The sequence below is a fragment of the Homo sapiens genome, chromosome 4, assembly GCF_000001405.40.
Source record: "Homo sapiens chromosome 4, GRCh38.p14 Primary Assembly".
Taxonomy (NCBI): domain Eukaryota; kingdom Metazoa; phylum Chordata; class Mammalia; order Primates; family Hominidae; genus Homo; species Homo sapiens.
Window position 1 is genome coordinate 112421958 of NC_000004.12, and position 23179 is coordinate 112445136.

Sequence of the window (23179 nt, forward strand, 5' to 3'; positions counted from 1 at the left end):
TTGCCAGCATCACTACTCCTGTCCTTTGCGGCCATTGTTAAGTAAAATACGGGTGACTTGAACACAAGCACTGCATTACCTGACAGACAGTTGATCTGATCATGGAGAGGTCTGCTAAGTGACTAATGGGTGATCATCGTAGATAGCATGGATCCGCTGGACAAAGGAATGGTTCATGTCCCAGGCAGGATGAGATTTCATCACGCTACTCAGAACGGCACGCAATTTAAAACTTATGAATTGTTTATTCCTGGAATTTTCCATTTAATATTTTTGGACTGTGGTTGACTGCTGGTAACTGAAACTGCAGAAAGGGAAACTGGGGACAGAGGGGACTACTGTAGTTTCTTCTTTAGGTTATTGCTTTCTTCCTGTACTTTATCTTGGGTAACTAAAAGATACACATTTTGGCACTTTCAATATCCTTCCTGGGTATCTCCCTAGCTAGACACCGAGTCCACTGGTTACATTTTGCTACATTCCACATTACTCCTGGAGACCATGTTGCCAAACTTTACAACACCGTATAATGTCTGTTCCCTTTCTCAAACTTCCAGGAACAATTTCTTCACTGCCTTTTGTCTCTGCAACACCCTTCAAGTCTCCAAAGTTTTTGTTATAGTAGTACTCCACTTTTAAGTGCATGATTTTTCCATTGCTATGTTAAAAGCCACTCCATGACATAGTGGCTTAAAACAGTAATAATTCATTCAGTCTCATAATTTGTAGTTTGGGTGATTATTATAAGTACTGTCAGCTGGAAGCTGGGATAGCTAGAAGGTCTGGAATGGTTTCATCCACACAGTAGGCATTTGGTACTGGCTGCCAGCTAAGAGCCAAGCAGAGGCCTTGGGGGAGGGCCTCAGCTGTCCTCTGCATGGGCCTCTCCATGTGGCGGCCTCAGCTTCCTCAGAGCATTGGGCTAAGTTCCAAGAAGGGAAGGCAGAATTTAAAGATCCCTTAACGCCCAGACTTCTGCCACATTCCATTTGTCAAAACAGGTCACAGGGCCAGTTGTGTTCAAGGTGAAGGGAAATAAACTCTAGATTCCACTTTTTGATGGAAAAATGGCCAGGTCATCATTGCAAACGAGCGTGAAGAATGGAATATACTGGTGTGGTCTTTTTTGGAAATACAACCTACCACAGCCAGAGTGTATGTCTACGTATGTAATTTAAAATAAGATGGTCAGGGGAGGCCTTCAGAGACAGTGACATTTGAGCAAAGACCTGAAGAAGAAGAGAGGAAGCCTTGCAGATATTTGGGATGAAAGCGTTACACACTGAAATAATTGTAAATACAAAAACTCTGATGTGGTAATGAGCCTGGTCTACCCAAGGGATGATAAGGAGGCCACTGTGACTGAAGTAGAGGGCCAAGAAGGAAGGAATAAGTAGTTAGAGGTGAGGTCAAAGAAGTCATGAAAGCCAGATCATGTAGGGCTTAGAGGAACCTAGAGAAAGGAATGTTTGGTTAAAAGGATAAATAATTGTGTTTCCAACAGGTGTCCATAGAATAGGCCCTTCCTATGTGGTAGTAACAAAAATAAGTAAAAACTTGAGAAAGAATCTCCTCACTCCCCACCCCCAAATTCCTGCCAGATAATTCCATAACTAGTTCCTGTCCACGGGCAACTCTATTCCACTTCCTGAAGTATAGTTTTCACAGGGAGGCGGCACAGCCTGTTAGAAAAGTTTGCCTCTACTCCTCAAACCCTGCTCTATGTGAATGAATTATCACATACATATGAATCTAATTTTCATTTCAGATACTGTCCAACTTCCCACCTTACCAACTTAGGAAAACTTCATCTTTCTTTTCAGTTTTATAGATGATGTCATTGTTGATTTTAAATTATAAAATGGAATGCTTCCAAAGGAGGTTACAGTTCCTGCTGCAATATATCAGTCTTAGAACATGAACAACTTGTAATTGTTAAGTGCATGTTCAAAGCTAATTGTGTGGCATTTGGTTGCTGCTTTTCAGGAAAACTTTTAAAAGCAGAGTATATTCTGAGCAGTCTAATAAGCAACAATGGAGCAACGGGTGAGTACTTTCATATCTTCACAATGACTTTTACCTCAGCCCCGAACAGAGCACTCATTTAATAACAACTTAGTGACTTAATAGTTACTATACCTTAGATGTTTCCAGAGCTATCTGGGGCTGGCTCTGCCACTGATGAATGAAGAAGCTTTGATCAAGCAGCTTACATCTCTGTGTCTCTGTTTTCTCTAAGTTAAAAAAAAAAACAACAAAGACAAGGAACCTACTATTGGCCTGCTTCCTTACAGAGTATGCTATCTAATGAACAATCACTGTCAAGGCAGATAACTCAGTGGGCCTTAGAAAGGTTCAACAGCAGCTTTTAAACAAAATTGTGATTGGAAATAAAAGCCTCTAAGTTCAGAAGAGTCTGCTTCGGCTTTATCAATTTAAATGGTTCAGAAAATGGATTTGATTTTTGGTACATAAGAACTTTAATAAAAACTTGTTTCAAAATGGATTTTCTTTCAATATTTAATTATCCATGAAAGGAGGCAAGACCTAATAGTTAGGTAACAAATAACTTAAGGCTTCAGATATCTTGTCTGAATTTCTGGGCATTTAAGTTAGCAAGTTTACCAATAAGTTGAGCACAGTTTCCATTGGACTTTTAAACTCAGCATGCTTGGATGTGAGGTCTCAAACTGCCTGAAACTTGTGGACATTTCTAGTGGGGAGACAGTTTGGAATCCAAATATTAACCACACACCCCTCACTTGTGGCCACCATCACTAAACTACAGTATACACTCTTGTCATCATGTGTGTGTGCACACACACACGCACGCACACAAGGATTCAAAGCTAGGAAGAAAATAAATATTATCTGATGTGACAGAGAATGGTGAGGGGGTAGTAAAGAGTCTGCCTCTATTTTTGATGTTTGACCGACCACTGACAGTTTTCAGGCCACAGCCTTTTTTACTTTTGCCTCACACTGGACAGTCCGATTAAAACAAACAAACAAACAACAAAAAGCCCTTTCATCCACACACCCAAACCCAGCTTACAGGAACCTTTACCCGGCCCCACACCCCAATCACAGTGAAAAGCAAAGCCGCTCACCACTCCCTGCCTGAATCAAAGGAGCAGCTTAGGTGCTAGCCTTACTTACCCTAGAAAGTCTCATTATGTGAGCAATAAATCTTCTCATACCCTCTTGGTACATGTGTGCAGTCATCAGTTTTGACATCCAAACAAATTTTCCTCAGATGGGATCCACCCCACGCTCCGCAAAGCAACCATAAGACAGTGGGGGTAACAGTGTAGAAATACTACTCTGTGGAGGCCTTTGAGGAAAAGCACTGAGGCTGAGACCTGAAGGAGAAGGATCTGGTTTCTTAAGAAGCCAGAGGAAAGAGAATCCCAAGCAGGGCTAGTGGTAAGTGCAGCTGCCATGAAGCAAGAGGCCAGCCCTATAACAAGGAGGCAAAATAAAGTAGAGTGGACAGAGAGTAAGTAGGGGAACTGGAGACCAGACAGGAGTCAGTTCCTGCAGAGCCTTAGACTACAGCAAGAAGTTTGGACCTGATTCTAAATGTAGAGACGAGATTGTTTCTCAAAATGATGTCACATGTGCTCATGAAGACTTCTGTGAAAATAGTTTTAATTTGCAAGGCTATATCTCTGATAATTCAAGGGAATTTTCATCTTTTCTTTTAGGTACCTGGCTGTACAGAAATGAAAGTGACAAGGTCCTGGTGCAGTCGGTCTGTATACAGATCAGAGGGCAGATTCTGCAAAAGCTGGGTACAATCATGTAAAACTTGCATTTCTCAAGGCTCATTTACAAAGCCTGGCTGCATGGTTTCACTGTGGAATTTTCTTCTTTTATCAGGCTAAAATTGTTAATTTCCACTTGCCTTAGTTTCCTCATCGAAAAGAGAATGGCATTTAAGATCCTAGGAGTGTCACAAATATTAATAAAATGTGTTTTTTTCTAGTGAGTTTTGTTAGAGAGGTTCACGGTTGTATATTGTAATGTTAACTGTAGGGTTCCCAGTGTTATTTCTAGCATCTGACTCAGTTCAGCAGGACTCCATGTGATATGGTGACACCTTATACTATACCCACCGTGACACTGTTTTCGTTCATTCCTTAAGGTATTCATGAATTTTTCAAGTTTATAGAATGCTAATATACTTTAGAATGCAAAATAATGGTTTGAGAAATTTTAACAGGAGGTGGCAATTATTATTTTTGTAAAAAACTGAGATAACTACATATATTACACATATTATATATACAAATATATAATAATTCTGTTTCCCAGTGAAATGGAAAAATTGTCTATATTACAACTGGAAAAACATTGCTGTGTCAATCTAATCTAAGCCTAAGTTTTCCTAACAGAATCTAATGAGTCTTGGTTCTGTATTTGTTTTCAAAGGTTTTCTCTATACAAGAGCACAGATACTAGCTGTTCCTCCCCTGTCCCTCTCCCCGCCCCTCTTTTTTTTTTCAGGGATGTGGTACGAAGCAGCAGAGTTAATATGGGCCTCCATTGTAGGATATTTGGCACTTCCTCAGCCGGATAAAAAGGTGGTTTGTCTAGTGCTTCTTTTTCTCCTTTCCTGTATTTGTCTTTGGATGATTATCTCTTCATGACAGAAGTCCATTTCTCATATATCAATTTCATCTGTCCTATTTTTATTTATTTTTCACAAGCATAGGGCCAGGTACAGTTAGTAGCTTCCTTATGTGTCTTGCTTCATCCTCACTCACAGCTAGACTCTTGGTGCATAGATGGTGTTCTTATAATCATTTGTAACTGTCCATTTATATATTTATCTCTACTGGTCCATTCATTTATCTGTTTTGTTATATATTTACTCTTTACTTGATTGCATAGCAAAGTTGAGATGACCAAGTTGCTTATATGTAAAATCAGTTTTCTTGAGTTGAGTGGGCGAAGACTTCAACTGTTTATATAGCACCTTTATTCAAGAAATTGAGGAAGGTCATCTGCCTTCCTACTTGACATTTTCATTTTCTGGAATTCTGTGGGAATAGTCTCATTATCTGAAACATCTGGTTATTACATTTCCCTGAGCTGTGTAAGCAATTACTGTCTACGATTCTTTTACAATACAGACTGATATGAGCTCTTCCTTGGGCCAGTTATTCAGGCCTAGCAGTAGGGACAAGTTAGTATTGATCATCCAGTGAAACCCAACTGAGAAGTAGCTGTGTTTACATTAGGCCCATGTGCCCTAGGATGTGTTGATCCTTCAAGCTCTGTGGCAGCCAATTTAAAAATATCTCCAAGTCAGGGTATTAATTATTACACAATGTATATATATGTCAAAATGTCACATTGTATCCCATAAACATGTATAATTATTATATACATGTTTGATATAAAACATGTATTTTTAAAAATAGTATTTTTAAAAATAGTATTTTTAAAAATTGATTTTTAAAAATAGTATCTCCAATGTCATAGTAATAAAATATTAATAGGCAAATAGTTCATATGGAGGAATAATCATAGCCTTTAGGCCATGGATGAGAGCAGTAATCCACTGTGAATTCCCGATCTGTGACTTCTTTGTGTTTTTCTTACAGGGCCTCTCCACGTCGCTAGGTATACTGGCAGACATCTTTGTTTCCATGAGCAAGAACGATTATGAAAAGTTTAAAAACAATCCACAAATTAATTTGGTAATTATCATAACACTGAGTGGCATCACCTGTAAAATTGTCAATCGTGTCCTTGGTGGTTGGTTAGTGGCTGTCTTTCTCAGGAGATTGGGAGGCAGGGAGCTCAGTGCTGCGCCTCCTAGACAAATGGGAGGAATCCTGGGGAGGAGTCTTGTGGGGTCCTATTTGGCTTTATTATCCCAGCGCCTAGCACTGTAACAGACACTCAGAGAGTGCTCAGAAAGTTACTGGTGAATGAATGAATGAATATCAACAAAATGATTTTGAGCCTCACTTCTTTCCTTTCAAAGTATAACAAAATGCAGTTTCCAAACTTGGGCCATCTTGATGATAAAGGGGTAATAATTTTAAAACTTTGTAATCACCATCTGTTCAAATCAGAGCATCAGTCCCTTGTTCCAGGCTCTCGTCCTTGATAATAATGACTGCTAATTTTTATATATCACTTTACAACTCAAGAAAGTATATATATATCCAATAAAACCCTATGAGGAGGGTAGAGCAAAGTGTATCATTCCATTTTAGAGAAAAATAAAATGCAGTGCAGAGAAACTAACTAACCTCTGCAGTTTACACAACCAGTAAGAGAGAGAACTGGGAGCTGAGCCCAGATCTCTGACCAGCCCAGAGAAGTGACAAGGATGTTCTGCTGCTCTTCACACTGTGCTTAAATGGAGTTTTTATTATCGTCTATATTGCCATTTTTATTCAAGACCCCATTATTAAAGATACCATTAAATCACAACAGTAACCATGCTCAATACTAATTAGTGTAGCAAAAGAACACATACAGCTTGCTGATGGTAATCTGAATCTAAGATGTTGCTTTTTCTGTTTGACCAAAACAGGAGGATCATGTCCCTTGTTCACTGAAGTTATCCCTGATGACCGTTTAAAATTGCAAACTTCCTTCCCATCCTGGGCCTCCCTAACCCCTTCTCCATTTATTGTCTCTCCAGAACACTTGTCATAATCTCAAATACTATGCACTTTACTTGTTTTGTATATTGACTGGTCCCTCCCCCACAACAGAAAGTAAGCTCCTTGAGGGCTCACTGTCTGCTGTTTCCCCTGTGTCTAGAACAGGCCCTGGAATGTGGTGGTACTCTATACGTATTTACAGAATTAATAAATGAATTCTAATTGCTGTGAAATCATCAATTAAAGGGCTCTTTGCCAAGAGCGTGCAGAAATCAATTAATCTGGCTTCAAAATGTGCAGTTCCTTTGAACAAAGAACTGCCACCGTCCTCCAAAGAAGCTCACCCAAATTATTTTGCACAGGTGTGTGTCTGCTGGGAAAAAGGAAAGTCAACACCTTGTGGTCTTTAGACCCACTTACTCTTTCTTTACACTGTTCTGAACGGGTTGCGGTGAGGAGTCCCTTGAAATCATGAAAGAAAAGCAAAACCATTTCATAGCCTGTTTTTTGCTCATCGATAATTAATTATCACCATTCCACTTAGCCTCCTGTTTTCTCACAGAGCCTGCTGAAGGAGTTTGACCACCATTTGCTGTCCGCTGCAGAAGCCTGCAAGCTGGCAGCTGCCTTCAGTGCCTATACGCCGCTCTTCGTGCTCACAGCTGTGGTAAACGAATGCAGCCGCTCCTCAAACCCCCACAGGACCTCTCCCAGGGTGCTTTCTGATGTAACCAGTGAGAAGGGAAAGGTTTAACCTTCAAACAGGCTTTGTGTCTCATCAGTGGCAATTGTGATAAGACTCCACACCACATATGGAAAAATTTTATTGGTCGGAGTTTTGACAGCCTACTAGGAGCTAAATTAATTCAGCCCAAGGGTAGATTGTTGTCTGTTGTGAAGCAATGGTTCCCAAGCCTGAGTGCACATCAAAATCACCCAAGGAACCTTCTCAAAATACATATTCCTGCCAGGCATGGTGGCTCACGCCTGTAATCCCATCACTTTGGGAGGCCAAGGTAGGAGGATGGCTTGAGCCCAAAATTTCAAGACTAGCCTGAGCAACATGGTGAGACTTTGTCTCTACAAAAAATTAAAAAATAAAAATTGGCCAGGTGTGGTGGTACGTGCCTATAGTCCCAGGTACTGGGGAGGCTGAGGTGGGAGGATCACCTGAGCCTGGAAGGTTGAGTTTGCAGTGAGCTGAGATTGCACCACTGCACTCCACCCTGGGTAACAGAGCAAGACCCTACCTCAAAAAAAAAAAAAAAGAAAAGAAAAGAGAAAAAGAAAAAGAAAAAAAAAAGAAAGAAAAAAATACTACACATTTCTGAGCTCCACCCTAGATCCACTAAATGCAAATCTCTGAGGTTGGTATCCAAAAATCTTTAATTTTGGAATATTGTCCAGGTGATTCAAATGCACAGATGCATTCGGAAACCAATGCCCTATTGTTTCGACATTAAATGAATGATGTATTCATATATGGCATCCTTATTTGCATAGAGAAACTTATATCCATTTCCATGGATAGACTCTGTTAAAACTAACAACAGCAACAAACACAAGCCTATCGTCTTTAATCAAAATGTATCAAAGATACAATAGGATGGTAATTGAAGCTGATTTCTTACCCCTTCATGCCAGCCAGTCACTTATATCCCCATCCCTTCTTCTGATTCACCAAAAAGGCCTCGGGTCCTTAACTCAATGTTTGCCTGTATATTTTCCTTAGAATGTATGTGGCATGTGTTCATTTTTCTATAATATTTCAAATGACTGTCCTCCAGAAATGAAAAGTTTGTCCTGATTCACTTGCAGTTTTCAATTCAATATCTGATTTGGTATTTGGTATTTTTCCCAGAATATCCGTGGCACGTGTTTATTGTCCTACAGTAGTTCAAATGACTGTCCTCCAGAATTGAAAAACTTACATCTGTGTGAAGCCAAAGAGGCCTTTGAGATTGGCCTCCTCACCAAGAGAGATGATGAGCCTGTTACTGGAAAACAGGAGCTTCACAGCTTTGTCAAAGCTGCTTTCGGTCTCACCACAGTGCACAGAAGGCTCCATGGGGAGACAGGGACGGTCCATGCAGCAAGTCAGCTCTGTAAGGAAGCAATGGGGAAGCTGTACAATTTCAGCACTTCCTCCAGAAGTCAGGACAGAGAAGCTCTGTCTCAAGAAGTTATGTCTGTGATTGCCCAGGTGAAGGAACATTTACAAGTTCAAAGCTTCTCAAATGTAGATGACAGATCTTATGTTCCCGAGAGTTTCGAGTGCAGGTTGGATAAACTTATCTTGCATGGGCAAGGGGATTTCCAAAAAATCCTTGACACCTATTCACAGCACCATACTTCGGTGTGTGAAGTATTTGAAAGTGATTGTGGAAACAACAAAAATGAACAGAAAGATGCAAAAACAGGAGTCTGCATCACTGCTCTAAAAACAGAAATAAAAAACATAGATACTGTGAGTACTACTCAAGAAAAGCCACATTGTCAAAGAGACACAGGAATATCTTCCTCCCTAATGGGTAAGAATGTTCAGAGGGAACTCAGAAGGGGAGGAAGGAGAAACTGGACCCATTCTGATGCATTTCGAGTCTCCTTGGATCAAGATGTGGAGACTGAGACTGAGCCATCGGACTACAGCAATGGTGAGGGAGCTGTTTTCAACAAGTCTCTGAGTGGCAGCCAGACTTCCAGTGCTTGGAGCAACTTATCAGGGTTTAGTTCCTCTGCAAGCTGGGAGGAAGTGAATTATCACGTTGACGACAGGTCAGCCAGAAAAGAGCCTGGCAAAGAACATCTGGTGGACACTCAGTGTTCCACTGCCTTGTCTGAGGAGCTAGAGAATGACAGGGAAGGCAGAGCTATGCATTCATTGCATTCACAGCTTCATGATCTCTCTCTTCAGGAACCCAACAATGACAATTTGGAGCCTTCTCAAAATCAGCCACAGCAACAGATGCCCTTGACACCCTTCTCGCCTCATAATACCCCAGGCATTTTCTTGGCCCCTGGTGCAGGGCTTCTAGAAGGAGCTCCAGAAGGTATCCAGGAAGTCAGAAATATGGGACCCAGAAATACTTCTGCTCACTCCAGACCCTCATATCGTTCTGCTTCTTGGTCTTCTGATTCTGGTAGGCCCAAGAATATGGGCACACATCCTTCAGTCCAAAAAGAAGAAGCCTTTGAAATAATTGTTGAGTTTCCAGAAACCAACTGCGATGTCAAAGACAGGCAGGGGAAAGAGCAGGGAGAAGAAATTAGTGAAAGAGGCGCAGGCCCTACATTTAAAGCTAGTCCCTCCTGGGTTGACCCAGAAGGAGAAACAGCAGAAAGCACTGAAGATGCACCCTTAGACTTTCACAGGGTCCTGCACAATTCTCTGGGAAACATTTCCATGCTGCCATGTAGCTCCTTCACCCCTAATTGGCCTGTTCAAAATCCTGACTCCAGAAAAAGTGGTGGCCCAGTCGCAGAGCAGGGCATCGACCCTGATGCCTCCACAGTGGATGAGGAGGGGCAACTGCTCGACAGCATGGATGTTCCCTGCACAAATGGGCACGGCTCTCATAGACTGTGCATTCTGAGACAGCCGCCTGGTCAGAGGGCGGAGACCCCCAATTCCTCTGTAAGCGGTAACATCCTCTTCCCTGTCCTCAGCGAGGACTGCACTACCACAGAGGAAGGAAATCAGCCTGGAAACATGCTAAACTGCAGCCAGAACTCCAGCTCATCCTCAGTGTGGTGGCTGAAATCACCTGCATTTTCCAGTGGTTCTTCTGAGGGGGACAGCCCTTGGTCCTATCTGAATTCCAGTGGGAGTTCTTGGGTTTCATTGCCGGGAAAGATGAGGAAAGAGATCCTTGAGGCTCGCACCTTGCAACCTGATGACTTTGAAAAGCTGTTGGCAGGAGTGAGGCATGATTGGCTGTTTCAGAGACTAGAGAATACGGGGGTTTTTAAGCCCAGTCAACTCCACCGAGCACATAGTAAGTACAATCTTTTCAATAGTTCCCCCCTCAGGAAGCAGCTGTGTTGGGGCACTCTGAAGAGCTTGGTATGTAGATCACTTAAAGCTCATGAAAGGTATAGAACCCTGGTATGCTTTGTGAGTTCACAGAGAAATGTATACTTCAGGGGTCTCCCTCACTCTGTGCGATGGACCTTAATGGTTGTAAAGAAGCTTGCTCAGGCTACCTTGCATGCTGGAGGTTTGCTCTAAGGACACACGAGGTAGTGAGGGAGACAGGAAACTTAGAGGACTCTGGCACAGCCATCACTAAGGGTTGAAAACAGCTCTGGAGGCCGTCTCATCCACTCAGCATCTATCTTCTTCATTGATTCTCATTACCAATCAGGTGATTTTAACAGGCTGGATACCATATTATCTGCTCAGCATCTATCTTCTCCTTCGAGTCTTTTTACCAACCAACTGATTTTTCTCTATCTTTCCCCATTAGAATTCTATGGGGACATGGTTTGACCTAGTTAAATATCATCTTTCTATTGGGCAGAGACTTTTTACACCTGTCTACCTAAGCGGTTTCTTGCCAGCCAATTGGTTGGTCAAGTGCATCCTCATCTTGTATTCATGATTCTGTAACAAAATGCCATCAACTGGGTAGCATATGAACAACAGAAATTTATTCCTCATAATTCTGGAGCCTGGAAGTCCAGGATGAAGGTACTGCTTTCTGGTTCATTGACAGCGCCTTTTCTCTGTGTCCTCACATAGTGGAAGGGGGAAGGGTTTCTCTGGGATCTCTTTTATGAGGGCACTCATCCCATCTATGAGGAATCTACCCCTCAGGACCTAATCACCTCCCAAAGTCTCCAGCTCCCAACACCATCACCTTGTGGGTTAGAACTTCAACATGTGAATTTAGGGGGGATAAAAACTTCCAGACTACAGTACCCCTACTGTTGCAATCAGCAGCTACTTCTTGCTTAAGGAACAGCCCAATGTCACTGCCCAAAGCGGGAAGCCTGGGCTGGAGCCACCTAGTAGTCAATGTCTAACACAGCTTAAAAGTGGTAGAGAAGCTGGGAGGAAGACAGAAGGAGATTCTTCTCTTAGCCCAGGAATCACATCAAAATGCCCTCCTACTATACAGAAAAATGATTTGAATGATTAAAAAAACAAAAAGATTGTGAAGCACTTCCCAGAAGAGATAAACTACATGGATCACTAAGCACTGGCTATTAAATAGTAGTTCTCAACCCTGGCGCCACATGAGACTCTTCTGGGGAGCTTTTAAAAACTTCCAATGCCTCACCCCAGAGATTTCCATCTAATGGGTCTGGAGTGCGGACCCAGGGATCATTATTTCTTATCACCTCTCTGGTGATTCTGCTTAAAGCCACTGTTAAGAGCTTCTGCTTCAAAGTATTCCAATGTTTTGCCTGCCACCTTGAAGTCCGACTAAAATACAAATCACATTGTTACCAAAAAAAAGCAAAAATTTCCAGCAATAGGGTTTTCTTACTAACTGTGAGATTCTGCAATTTTGGAATCACATTTATTACAATGAGGTAACTGCTTTCTTCTTATTTGTTATCGTTTGCTAATTTATGGATGAAATACATTAGAGGAAGCAAGGCCCAAAATGGCAGAAACAGAACAATGATTCCCTTCCTCTTTTCTTCTCTCAATTTATCACCCGTCCTGTGTGTGGACAGACAACTCACCTTCCATTTCCATCCGGCTTCTCTAACTGAGTCACCCAACCCTGGTCACCATCCCGCCCAGCCCACAGGCATCCCCTGCCCAGAACTGTCAGTTTATCTTGCTTTAAGTATTTTCTCTCCCACGTATCCCATTCATTTATCTATTTTCACAATCTAGACAAAAGTCTTTGTTCACTTCATTTTAATTTCAACCAAAGTGTTGCACTCCTTCCTTAGGATTCATGTGGGTGTTTCTCCTCAAAGAGATGCTTTCTTGCTTAGCACTGTTCTTCCTTTCTATAAGGTGGAGACTGCCCCTACTTTTTCCTCTTATGTTTTCCTTTTTTCAGTTGAGTTCGCATGTTTTTACAGCAGCTACATTTTCTCAAATAATTTCCAAACTTTCTCAACTTAAAACAATGAAGAGAAAATTAGGGTGCACTTGAATATATAATGCTAGGATTCCCAGAGCTGCCATCAGTAGTAGCTTCTGTTATTTGGGATCCCCAGGTAATAATAGTAAGTTGCAAGCATGTGTCACTTGTCCCAAAATGGTCTCTGGGGTTTTCTGATTTTAAAATTCCTTTATTTTCCACTACTTTCATATAGAATCTTCATGCTTATCTTAATCCCTTTTCATCACAACTAAGGGATTTTGTGACTCAAAGGCTATTCCTCATTGTAATTTATAAAGTGTTACTTTTTTATTATTTCTCACTAACTTTTTAATACTGTAGTTGTCATAGAAGAGATGAAAATTAGAGAAAAGTGTATAAAAAAGTGAAGATTTCAGGTGAGCTGGCGTAGGACCTGTGTCACATCAGCTTTATTCATGAATTGTAACGTCCTTTTGAAAATAAGATTCATTTTCATCTTTTTTTTTCCCAGGTGCTCTTTTGTTAAAATATTCAAAAAAATCTGAACTGTGGACGGCCCAGGAAACTATTGTCTATTTGGGGGACTACTTGACTGTGAAGAAAAAAGGCAGACAAAGAAATGCTTTTTGGGTTCATCATCTTCATCAAGAAGAAATTCTGGGGAGGTATTACTTAAAAACATTTGTATAACTAATGTAAGATGAGCTAACCTTGCTCTTCTGTTAAGTAATCACTCATGAGACTTCGTAGGGGCTGAAAAACTTGGCCAAAATATATTTCCAGATTTCTACTCCTTTTTCTTTTCATTATTAATTAATTAACAACAGTTACTATATATTGAGGACCCACGTTACATCAGCTGTTTTGCTGGATGTTTTAGCTACAGGACCTCAAAACCATCAGGGAAACATTGGCCATACTGTACTGATAAGAAAAATAAAGTTCCTGGCCACATGACAGGCCAGAGAGCCTTCAATATTCACTAAAAATGCTGGCAAAAAAAGGTAAATTATGAAAAGCACACTTTTAAGTAAATAGGTGAGCCTGAAAAAAGGCAGGAAAATCCTGAGTCCAGGGATGAAGCCTGTTCAGGGATATAAGTGATTGCTGAACCCTTTAGGGATCCCGCATAGGCGTTTGAGGCAGGGGTGGAGTGAGGGTGCAGCCCGTAGCAAAAGCTACACCCAGAAGGGAATGAGTTCAGATACCACTCATACAAGCAAAGACTCAGGAATGGCTACATCCCCACGATAAAGGGTATCTTTGAAAACCCCACCCCAGTGAAGTAAATGCCTGGAAAGTTTTTGCTTTGGCCTTAGTTCTTAATAAAAATTTTAAACAAAAACTCACCTGAAAAATTAGTAACCACAGGTGGTCTTCATTGGATTTAAGACATAATTTTTTATCATTTGTATATTTTAAAAGACCTATAAGCCATGACTTTTCATTTAAAGTTGGCCTTGTTATTTGCTCAAATCCAAATAGTGTAAGAAATAAATAGAAATAGAGAAATCAAGTGTCTCTGTAAGCAGTGGAAGTACATTTCTTGAAAAGATTATTGATTATTATTATTATTTTAGTAAACATATGCCAGGTCCTGTTTTAAATGATTTATATGCTAATTCAATTAATCTTCACAAAACCCTCTGAGGGTAGATACTATTATTATTCTCACTTTACAGATGAGGGAACTGAGTCACAGAGATGTTAAGGAATTGCCTGAAATCACATGTCTAAGCAGTAGGGGCATGTGCTGATGCTTCACTTGTGTCTCCCAAAACTCATATATTGAAGTTCTCAGTACTTCAGACTACGATCTTACTTGGAAGTAGAGGGATTGCAGATGTAATTGGTGAAGTTAAGATGAAGTCATACTGGAGTAGGGTGGGCCCCTGATCCAATATGACTGATATCCTTATGAAAAGAGGAAATTTGGAGATAGACAAAGACGCAGAGAGAATGCCATGTGAAGATTGTAGTTATGTTGCCTCATAGCAGAGAACTGCCAGAAGCTGGGAGACAGCCTGAAACAGATTCTTCCTTAGAGCCTTCAGCAGGATGATGGCCCCATTGGAACTTTGATCTTGGACTACTATAGGCTTCAGAACTGTGAGAAAATCAATTTCTGTTATTTACGCCACCCAGTTTATGGCATGTTGTGACAGCAGCCCTGATACACCAGAGTATACCATAGGAGGACCTGAGATGAGAATAAATTGAGAATAAGAGACATAGAGAATGGAGTGGCAGAGTTCAATATATTTCTGATCAGAAGAAAATAACAGCAAGAGAGCAAAAACAATATTTGAATAGATACTTTCTGGTAATTTTTCAGAATTGCCAAAATACACTAATCTTGAAATACAGAAATCACAGTGAATCCTAAGGACAGAAGGGAAAGGAGGAAAGAAGCTGGAAGGCAGGTAGTCAGACATCCTGTGTACCTAGTTTGACTAGGTACACAGTAGTCAAACTCCAAACACTAAGGACAAAGAAACCATTTTAAAAGCAGTCAAAGAAAATAGACAGATTACGTACATAGAAATGTCAATTTGACCTACAGCTGGTTTCTTCATAGCAACAATGGAATTCAGAGACAATGGAAGTCATATACTTAGTGCAACTCTCTTTTATGGAGGAAGACAAAATAAAGACATTTGCAGCTTAAAAGGAAAAATGACCATGGCAGTTTACCATGAACAAATCCTCACTAAAGAAAAATGATCCCAGAAAAAAAATGGTACAAGATGAGAGAAGATATGGACTTCTGTTCTCAGATTGATGATCCCCTGCCTAAGACTGGAGGTCTTCTGGCAGAATGTTCAGGAAATGCTCCAGTAGCCAGTACTCACAGGTTCACTCTCTTGTGCACACCTCTGGTATCAGTCAACAAAATTCTGAATTAGTTCAAACCCTCTATAGGTCTTGCGGTCTCTCCATAGAAGAACTGCCTAAAGCACTGGTATGGCATCCCTATTACAACAACTGCTCCTCTGCAGGCTGCCTTCTGAGGCCATACTGCAGCCTCCACTATCAGATTTCCTTTCTGGTCTTCAGGAGTCTGAATGGCCAAAACCACAGCCTCCTTAAGTTCCATTATTATATGGGATTCAGAAATTTCTGGAGAGAGTTTACTCTGGTTGAAGTCTATGACTCAAACAATTCCCCTTGATTTTTGGTGGTCACTCTGGGCACATGTGAAATTACTCACAAATTCACACCAGTTTACAGCAAGTATAAACTACAGTAAAGTGCAGCACTGTTTTGCTTCTTTCCGCATGTAATCATTTACTGCCTTGTGTCTTCCCACACCAACTGTGCTATTAGCTCTTGAAATATACAAATCATGTCTCACACTTTCTTCAAGTCACTCAAGACTAGCACAGTGTTATGCACATAATAGGTATTGACGGATAATAAGTATTTATAGGAATGAAGTAATCATAAAAGGAAGGGATAGAGGAAGGCTTCAGATTGATGAACTGACTATATAAGGCCACACTGCAGGGAGTGGAAGGTTTTGACTCCAGAATCCATGCACATTCCAGTATACTTTGCTGACCCCCTTGTCTTACCAGAGGTCTGGAGAACTTCTACATTAAGTGACACTTTCCCTTTATAATCAGTATCATTCTGGGTCAGCTAGAATGAGTGTGTTCCATTGTTCAAGTAGCTCTTACAAAATTATTTGAATCTTGAGATAAGTCAAAATAATTAATATTCAGTCTAAGGCAGAGAAAGAGATCTTTCAAGCATTTCTGCATATGTCTTTTGATCTCCTCTCTCTTACTCCATAGTAAGTAAGACCACTTTTGCATTTTGTTGTGTGGATTTTCTTTGTTCATAGGTATGTTGGGAAAGACTATAAGGAGCAGAAGGGGCTCTGGCACCACTTCACTGATGTGGAGCGACAGATGACCGCACAGCACTATGTGACAGAATTTAACAAGAGACTCTATGAACAAAACATTCCCACCCAGATATTCTACATCCCATCCACAATACTACTGGTAAGATTATCCTGAACACATCATTTGGATCTTCCAAATCACACTTGAATATCAATTAATCTGAGTATCTGGTTCCACATAATCAGGCTAGCATTTTTAGCAAACTATCCTTGTGTGTTGTCCCTGTACTTTCCAAGAGAGAAAGAACCCTAAAGATTTATCTAGTACAAACTATCCCCTCAACATGATACATAAATCCCATTTTACATCTGTTGGCCTCACCCCTTGCAACCAAGTGATTGCTAAGTCAAAGCTTACACACCTTCAGCAAGAAAAAATAATTGTTCTCCTTTCACTTTCAAGTAATCCTAATTGTTAGAAAGTTCTTAGACTTAGCCCAAATCTATCTTTATCTAACTTCTGTCCATGGATTACAGCTCTCCCTCCTGGGACCATGAAGACCAGTCTCTCTTCACTAACATACCCCTTTCAATAGATAAAGGCTAATATTCCCATTGAGTTTTCTCTTCTTTGGATCAAGAATGCCTTGCTACCCCGAATATATTAGATCCTGAGTGCATTCATACTTGCAATAATTTTTTCATTGGCCAGAGACATTTTTAGACCCGTCTTTTCCTAATCATAATAGTAATTATCATCCATTTCATACCTTCTTTATGTCACTCACTGTGCCAGGCAGTTTGCAAACCTTAACTCTAACCTTTGAAACAACTCCACAAAGCTGATGTTTTAACCTAGAGTCCCTGAGCATGATCTAACTTCATGTCCTGGTAACCTAGCCTCCAGGACAGGTCACGTCATGGCCTAAATCTTAAGTGAGCAGTTTAATATGTGAATGACAATAAATTTAAGTTCTATGACATGCCACATGCCGTGTTAAGCATTTTACATGCATTTCCTTGCATAATCCCTTTAACAAGCCTAAAAGGTAGTTATAATTATACCTACTTTACCCATGATGAAATTGAAGCTCAGAGAAGCAAAGTGGCAGAGCCTAGGTTCAAACCAAGATTTACCCAAGTCCAAAGACAATGGCCTTTACCATTATGCTGTAATGTTTCTCATTGCTATTTTTCAGATTTTAGAGGACAAGACAATAAAGGGATGTATCAGTGTGGAGCCTTACATACTGGGAGAATTTGTAAAATTGTCAAATAACACGAAAGTGGTGAAAACAGAATACAAAGCCACAGAATATGGCTTGGCCTATGGCCATTTTTCTTATGAGTTTTCTAATCATAGAGATGTTGTGGTCGATTTACAAGGTATGTGAAACTGGGAATTATTTTTATTTTTAATATTATATGTAAATGTGAAGTTTTGTAACTAGCTTCCCTAATCTTTACTTAATAGATTGTTCCATGTATAGGCTATTATTTGGAGTTAACTTAATTGATCTTACTATATATAGCAAATAATTCCTGAAAGAAAAATATGCCCAAAACTTCTACAAATGTCTACAGTATCACATAATCAGTGAGAGGGTCTGGCTTATGTTCTGTTGGGCTTTGTTCCAGAGCATCTCTATAACAGCTTTTTTTATTTCACTTAAGTAGATTTGAGTGATGTATATTTCGTTGCATTTTTTTCACATGTCAAAATCTTCTTTCCACTTTTCCTTTTCTCCAGCCCCTTACCCTTATTAAAAGTGTGATGTTGGGTTTCATAATGGGGGTCATTATAGAACAGAAATCTGTATCTTTAAACTATGTACTTAAATATGACTACTTTTCAATTCTACCTTAATATTTTAATTTTGTTTTAGTTTGTCTGGTATTTTATTCATCAGAATTTTTATTAGAAAATACCCTATACTTCATGTAAATTATAAGTAAGATTTTTTACTAGCTTGTTCAGTCGGTACCACCAGTGCCTAAAATAGTGTTTTGTAGAGTGTCTGCACTCAATAAATATTTGTTGAATGAACAGATGAGTATATGAATTAATGAATAAGTCACTAAAGAAATCTCTGAATCATGAAAGAAATATTCCATATTATGATATTGATAATTATTCTAAGTATATTTTATTGCTTTCTAATACCTTGAAAAATTGGTGATCTGGGGATGTCATATTTGACAAATATAACTGCCCAATATTTAATTATTCTTAAACTAATAACTGGAATATGCCATCCAAATTCCTTACCAGGAATTTACTAACTATAAACCACAGGATGGCCAAGTTTTTGAATTATCTCTTTAAGTGTGTGTGTGTGTGTGTGTGTGTGTGTGTGTATGTATTTTTGTAAACACTTGATGGACATTTACAGGGAATTTAATACTCAGGTGTGTTCATTTCTCTTTTAGGTTGGGTAACCGGTAATGGAAAAGGACTCATCTACCTCACAGATCCCCAGATTCACTCCGTTGATCAGAAAGTTTTCACTACCAATTTTGGAAAGAGAGGAATTTTTTACTTCTTTAATAACCAGCATGTGGAATGTAATGAAATCTGCCATCGTCTTTCTTTGACTAGACCTTCAATGGAGAAACCATGTAAGTCATAGGCTGTATGGATTGGTAATGTGACAGACCTTAGTGATGCTCTCAAATATCTGGTGATGCTCGCAAATATCTGGTTCTCTCCTTCCAGGCACATAGAATACGGCACAGTCTGGTCCTTTGGGGCTTGGGCAGGGCCGTGACACAGGTTCTGGCCAATGATTTGCAAGAGGAATTGATCAGTATCACTTTAAGTCCTGCATTTAATTGGCAGCACAAGATCCTGCAGAGCCTCTTTCCCTCTGCCACAGTTATCAAGAATGGGTCAGGAGACCGCTGCTTCTGGGCATAAGTCCTGCAAGGAAAGCAACATGGAAAACAGCCCCAACTCACCCATGAGGGATGAAAAGCACTCTTGAGAAAGGCATGTGTTGTTTAAGCCATTGAGATTTTAGAGCTTTTTGTCACTATCTGTCAAGACTGATACTACTGGGGCTTTTCCTATTGATTTGGGAGTTCTTTACATATTAAAAAAATGTGAGCCTTTGTGATACGAATTCAATTTGTTTTCCTGTCTTTTGACATTTGACTTTGCATAAAAGTTTATCTGTGCATAATTTTATATGTAGTTGAATTCATCAATCTTTTATTTTGTATGGCTTTTTGGTTATGTATAATACTTAGATCCTCCTTATACTCTGAGTTTCTTTCTTTTTAATTCTCCTGTATTTCCTTCTAGTATAATTAAATCTGTAAAAAGTAAGATGGAAGAGTGGTACAGTTTTCTTTATCCAGTCTGTCCTTGATGGGCATTTAGGTAGACTGGATAAAGAAAATGTGGTACATATACACCATGGAACACTATGTGTATTAATCCACTCTCACACTGCTATGAAGAGATACCTGAGACTGGGTAATTTAGAAAGAAAAGAGGTTTAATTAACTCACAGTTCCACATGGCTGGGGAGACCTCAGGAAACTTACAATCATGGCAGAAGGCACCTCTTCATAGGGTAGCAGGAGAGAGAATGAGTGCCAGCAGGGGAAATGCCAGATGCTTATAAAGCCATCAGATCTTGTGAGAATTCATTCACTCTCACGAGAACAGCATGGGAAAAACTGCCTCAATTACCTCCTACCAGGTCCTTCCCATGACACATGGGAATTATGGGACTACAATTCGAGATGAGATTTGGGTGGGGACACAAAGCCAAACCATATCACAATGTAACCATAAAAAAGAATGAGATCATGTCCTTTGCAGGGACATGGATAGAGCTGGAGGCCATTATTTTTAGCAAACTAATGCAAGAACAGAAAACTAAATACCACTTGTTCTCACTTATAGGTGAGAGCTAAGTGATGAGAGTAGGTGGACACATAGAGGGAACAACACACACCAGGGCTTATCAGAGGGTGGACAGTGGGAGGAGGGAGAGGATCAGGAAAAATAACTAATGGGTACTAGGCTGAATACCTGGGTGATGAAGTAATTCGCACAACAAACCCCCATGACACAAACCTGCACATGTACCCCTGAACTTAAAATAAAAGTAAAAAAAAAAAATCATTGAATATTGTGAACTCTATGAATATACCAAAACCATTGGACTAGACACTCAAAGGGTGAATTTTATGGTAGGTAAGTTATACCTCAATAAAGCTTTTTTTTTTTAAAAAAAAGAATAGTCTTGCAAAAAAAAAAAAGAAGAAGAAGAATGATACATTTTCCTGGCTACCACAGTCCATCCCTTACCCTACACAGATCTACTTCTTCACACAGGTTTAGGAAACAGCTCCTCCATGATCTTACTGAAAGAAACAAAAGGGCGACTAGTGAGATAAACCAATTCTTTTCTGCAGTTATTCTTGGGGCTGCAACTGGTGCTCACTCTCCCTATCCTCCACTGTTCATTCTAAGTTTCCCTCAGCCTTAACTATTAACTCAGGAAGTCTGGGTGGCTTACCTGGTTGGTGAGACTCAAACTTACATACATGATCTTCATGTATCAAGTCCAAACATTTGATAGTTTATACTCTTCTCAATTTGAGGTTGCTGCACATGTCTCTTCACAGTTGCAGTTGAGGCAAGGAAGACCCATTCCAATCTCCTGCTGTGGGGATCACAGTTGATTGACACTCCCAGCTTTCACTCCCCTGAATCCATCACTGTGTTTATGCTGAAGCCATGTTGCCCTCAATGTGCTGTCAGCCAGTGACTAAGCATGACAAGGACACTAGTCTCAGAATATTTCTAACTGCTGACTGTGACTGTGGAACAAAGTCTTAGCACTGGCCTAACCAAAACTTTCTTAAGGCCGGGCGTGGTGGCTCAGGCCTGTAATTCCAGCACTTTGGTAGGCCGAGGCAGATGGATCACCTGAGGCCAAGAGTTCAAGACCAGCTTGGCCAACATGGTGAAACCCCATCTCTACCAAAAATACAAAAAAAAAAAAAAAAAAAGCTGGTCATGGCTAATTTTTCAGGAGGCAGAGGTTGCAGTGAGCTGAGATGGCACCACTACACTCCAGCCTGGGCGACAGAGCAAGACTCCATCTCAAAAAACAAAAGCAAACAAACAAAAAAACTCTTTTCTTTGCTCTCTCCTTTTATAGGCATCAGGCCCACAGCATGGTCCCCTGCCTACTCTTGTTCCCTCCAACTGATCCTTTACAATCATTTCTCCCAATAGAGGTCTTTCATGTCTAATCCTTTCCTGGTATCTGCTTCTTGGAAAACCAAAGCTAATACATGCTTATTAAGGAAATGAAAAAAAAATGTAATCTATCCTATTAACAAAGTAAAGGGAGGAAATCATGTAATTTCACAAGATGTAGAAAATTATTTCATAAAATTCCAAATCAACTCATGGTAAAAGAAAAAAAACAAGCTCTTTGAAAACTAAGAATAAAGAAAAGGTTTCTAAATCTGGCAAAGGTTTTTTTATTTTAAACTTAAAACAGCAATACCATAATTAATAGTGAAGCAATTAAAACTTTTAAGTTGAGAAAAGGAACAAGACAAATTTGCCTACTATCCCACTTCTATTCAACATCATAGAAGAAGTCCAACTAATAAACATAGAAAGACTAAACTAGAAAATCATGATTTTGCATCCATTAATGAAATAATGGATCTGGGCAGAAAGCATTGATGGCTGGGGAAAATTAGATGGAGAACTTTATAATGGAGAAATCAGGCTGATGCTACTCACACTTCAGTCAATCTGATCACTAAAAGTGGGATAATGAATCAGTGATAAAATGACATTTTTGAGACAATTGGGGATTTTGAATATGGACTAAGTGTTAGATAAAATGATGAAGTGATATCTTAAAAACATTCAGCCAAAAGAAAAATTTGGAAAAAGATGTGAAAACAGCTTGACTCTTTGGGGTTAATGTTGAAGGGAGATGATTACATAGCAATTCATTGTACCAGTCTTTCTACTTTTCTATATATTTTTAAATCTCAAAAAAAAAATCTTAAATGTAAGGTCATAGAAAGGAAGAAATAACAAGAAAAGTTTGAAGAATCAATAGATAAAGAAGATGAAAACCAAGAATGGTATCAAACAAACTAATCAGGAAAGAATATAAGGAGGAGCATTCAGCAGTATGAAATCCAGCAGAAAAATTCAGGAAAAAAAAACAATTTGGGGGGTGAAAGACTGAGAACAGTGAAAAAAGATTGCTGACAGCAAAAAGAGGCTATTAATTGAGAGAGTGACCTTTGAGATGTTGTAGAAGGGGGTCAACAAACTATGATCCATGAGGTCAAAGCTGCTGTCATCTGTTTTTGTAAATAAAATTTTATTGGAACATAGTAACTTTATTCAATTATGTACTATCTACAGCTGCTTTTGTGTTACAATAGCAGAACTGAGTAACATTGTGACATAGACTGGATTTTGCAAAGTGAAAAATATTTACTATGTGGACCTTTACAGAAAAAAGTTTGTCAATCTCCATTTGTAGAAGATGAAATTGGGAATAAAGTTCAGGATATTTACAGTTAGAAAGAAATATGGTTATCTCTACCAACACAGAAGAAAAGGAGGAGCAACAATGGGCAAAGAAACTGGA

At 39.7% G+C, this 23179-nt stretch overlaps 1 protein-coding gene across 3 annotated transcripts in view; it reads left to right on the top strand.

Moving 5' to 3' along the window:
* The window catches only part of ALPK1 (alpha kinase 1), a 145253-nt gene extending 124589 nt beyond the window's left edge, over positions 1–20664 (top strand). For all 3 annotated transcript variants that reach the window (NM_025144.4, NM_001102406.2, NM_001253884.2), the window contains 11 exons: positions 1987–2046; positions 3708–3794; positions 4510–4586; positions 5613–5708; positions 7192–7296; positions 8491–10624; positions 13191–13344; positions 16527–16689; positions 17729–17915; positions 18960–19148; positions 19246–20664. In NM_025144.4, coding sequence (NP_079420.3) covers positions 1987–2046; positions 3708–3794; positions 4510–4586; positions 5613–5708; positions 7192–7296; positions 8491–10624; positions 13191–13344; positions 16527–16689; positions 17729–17915; positions 18960–19148; positions 19246–19253 — 3260 coding nt within the window. In that variant the 3' untranslated portion in view covers positions 19254–20664. The remainder of the gene's footprint in view (positions 1–1986; positions 2047–3707; positions 3795–4509; positions 4587–5612; positions 5709–7191; positions 7297–8490; positions 10625–13190; positions 13345–16526; positions 16690–17728; positions 17916–18959; positions 19149–19245) is intronic.
* Positions 20665–23179: the final 2515 nt, after the last annotated feature.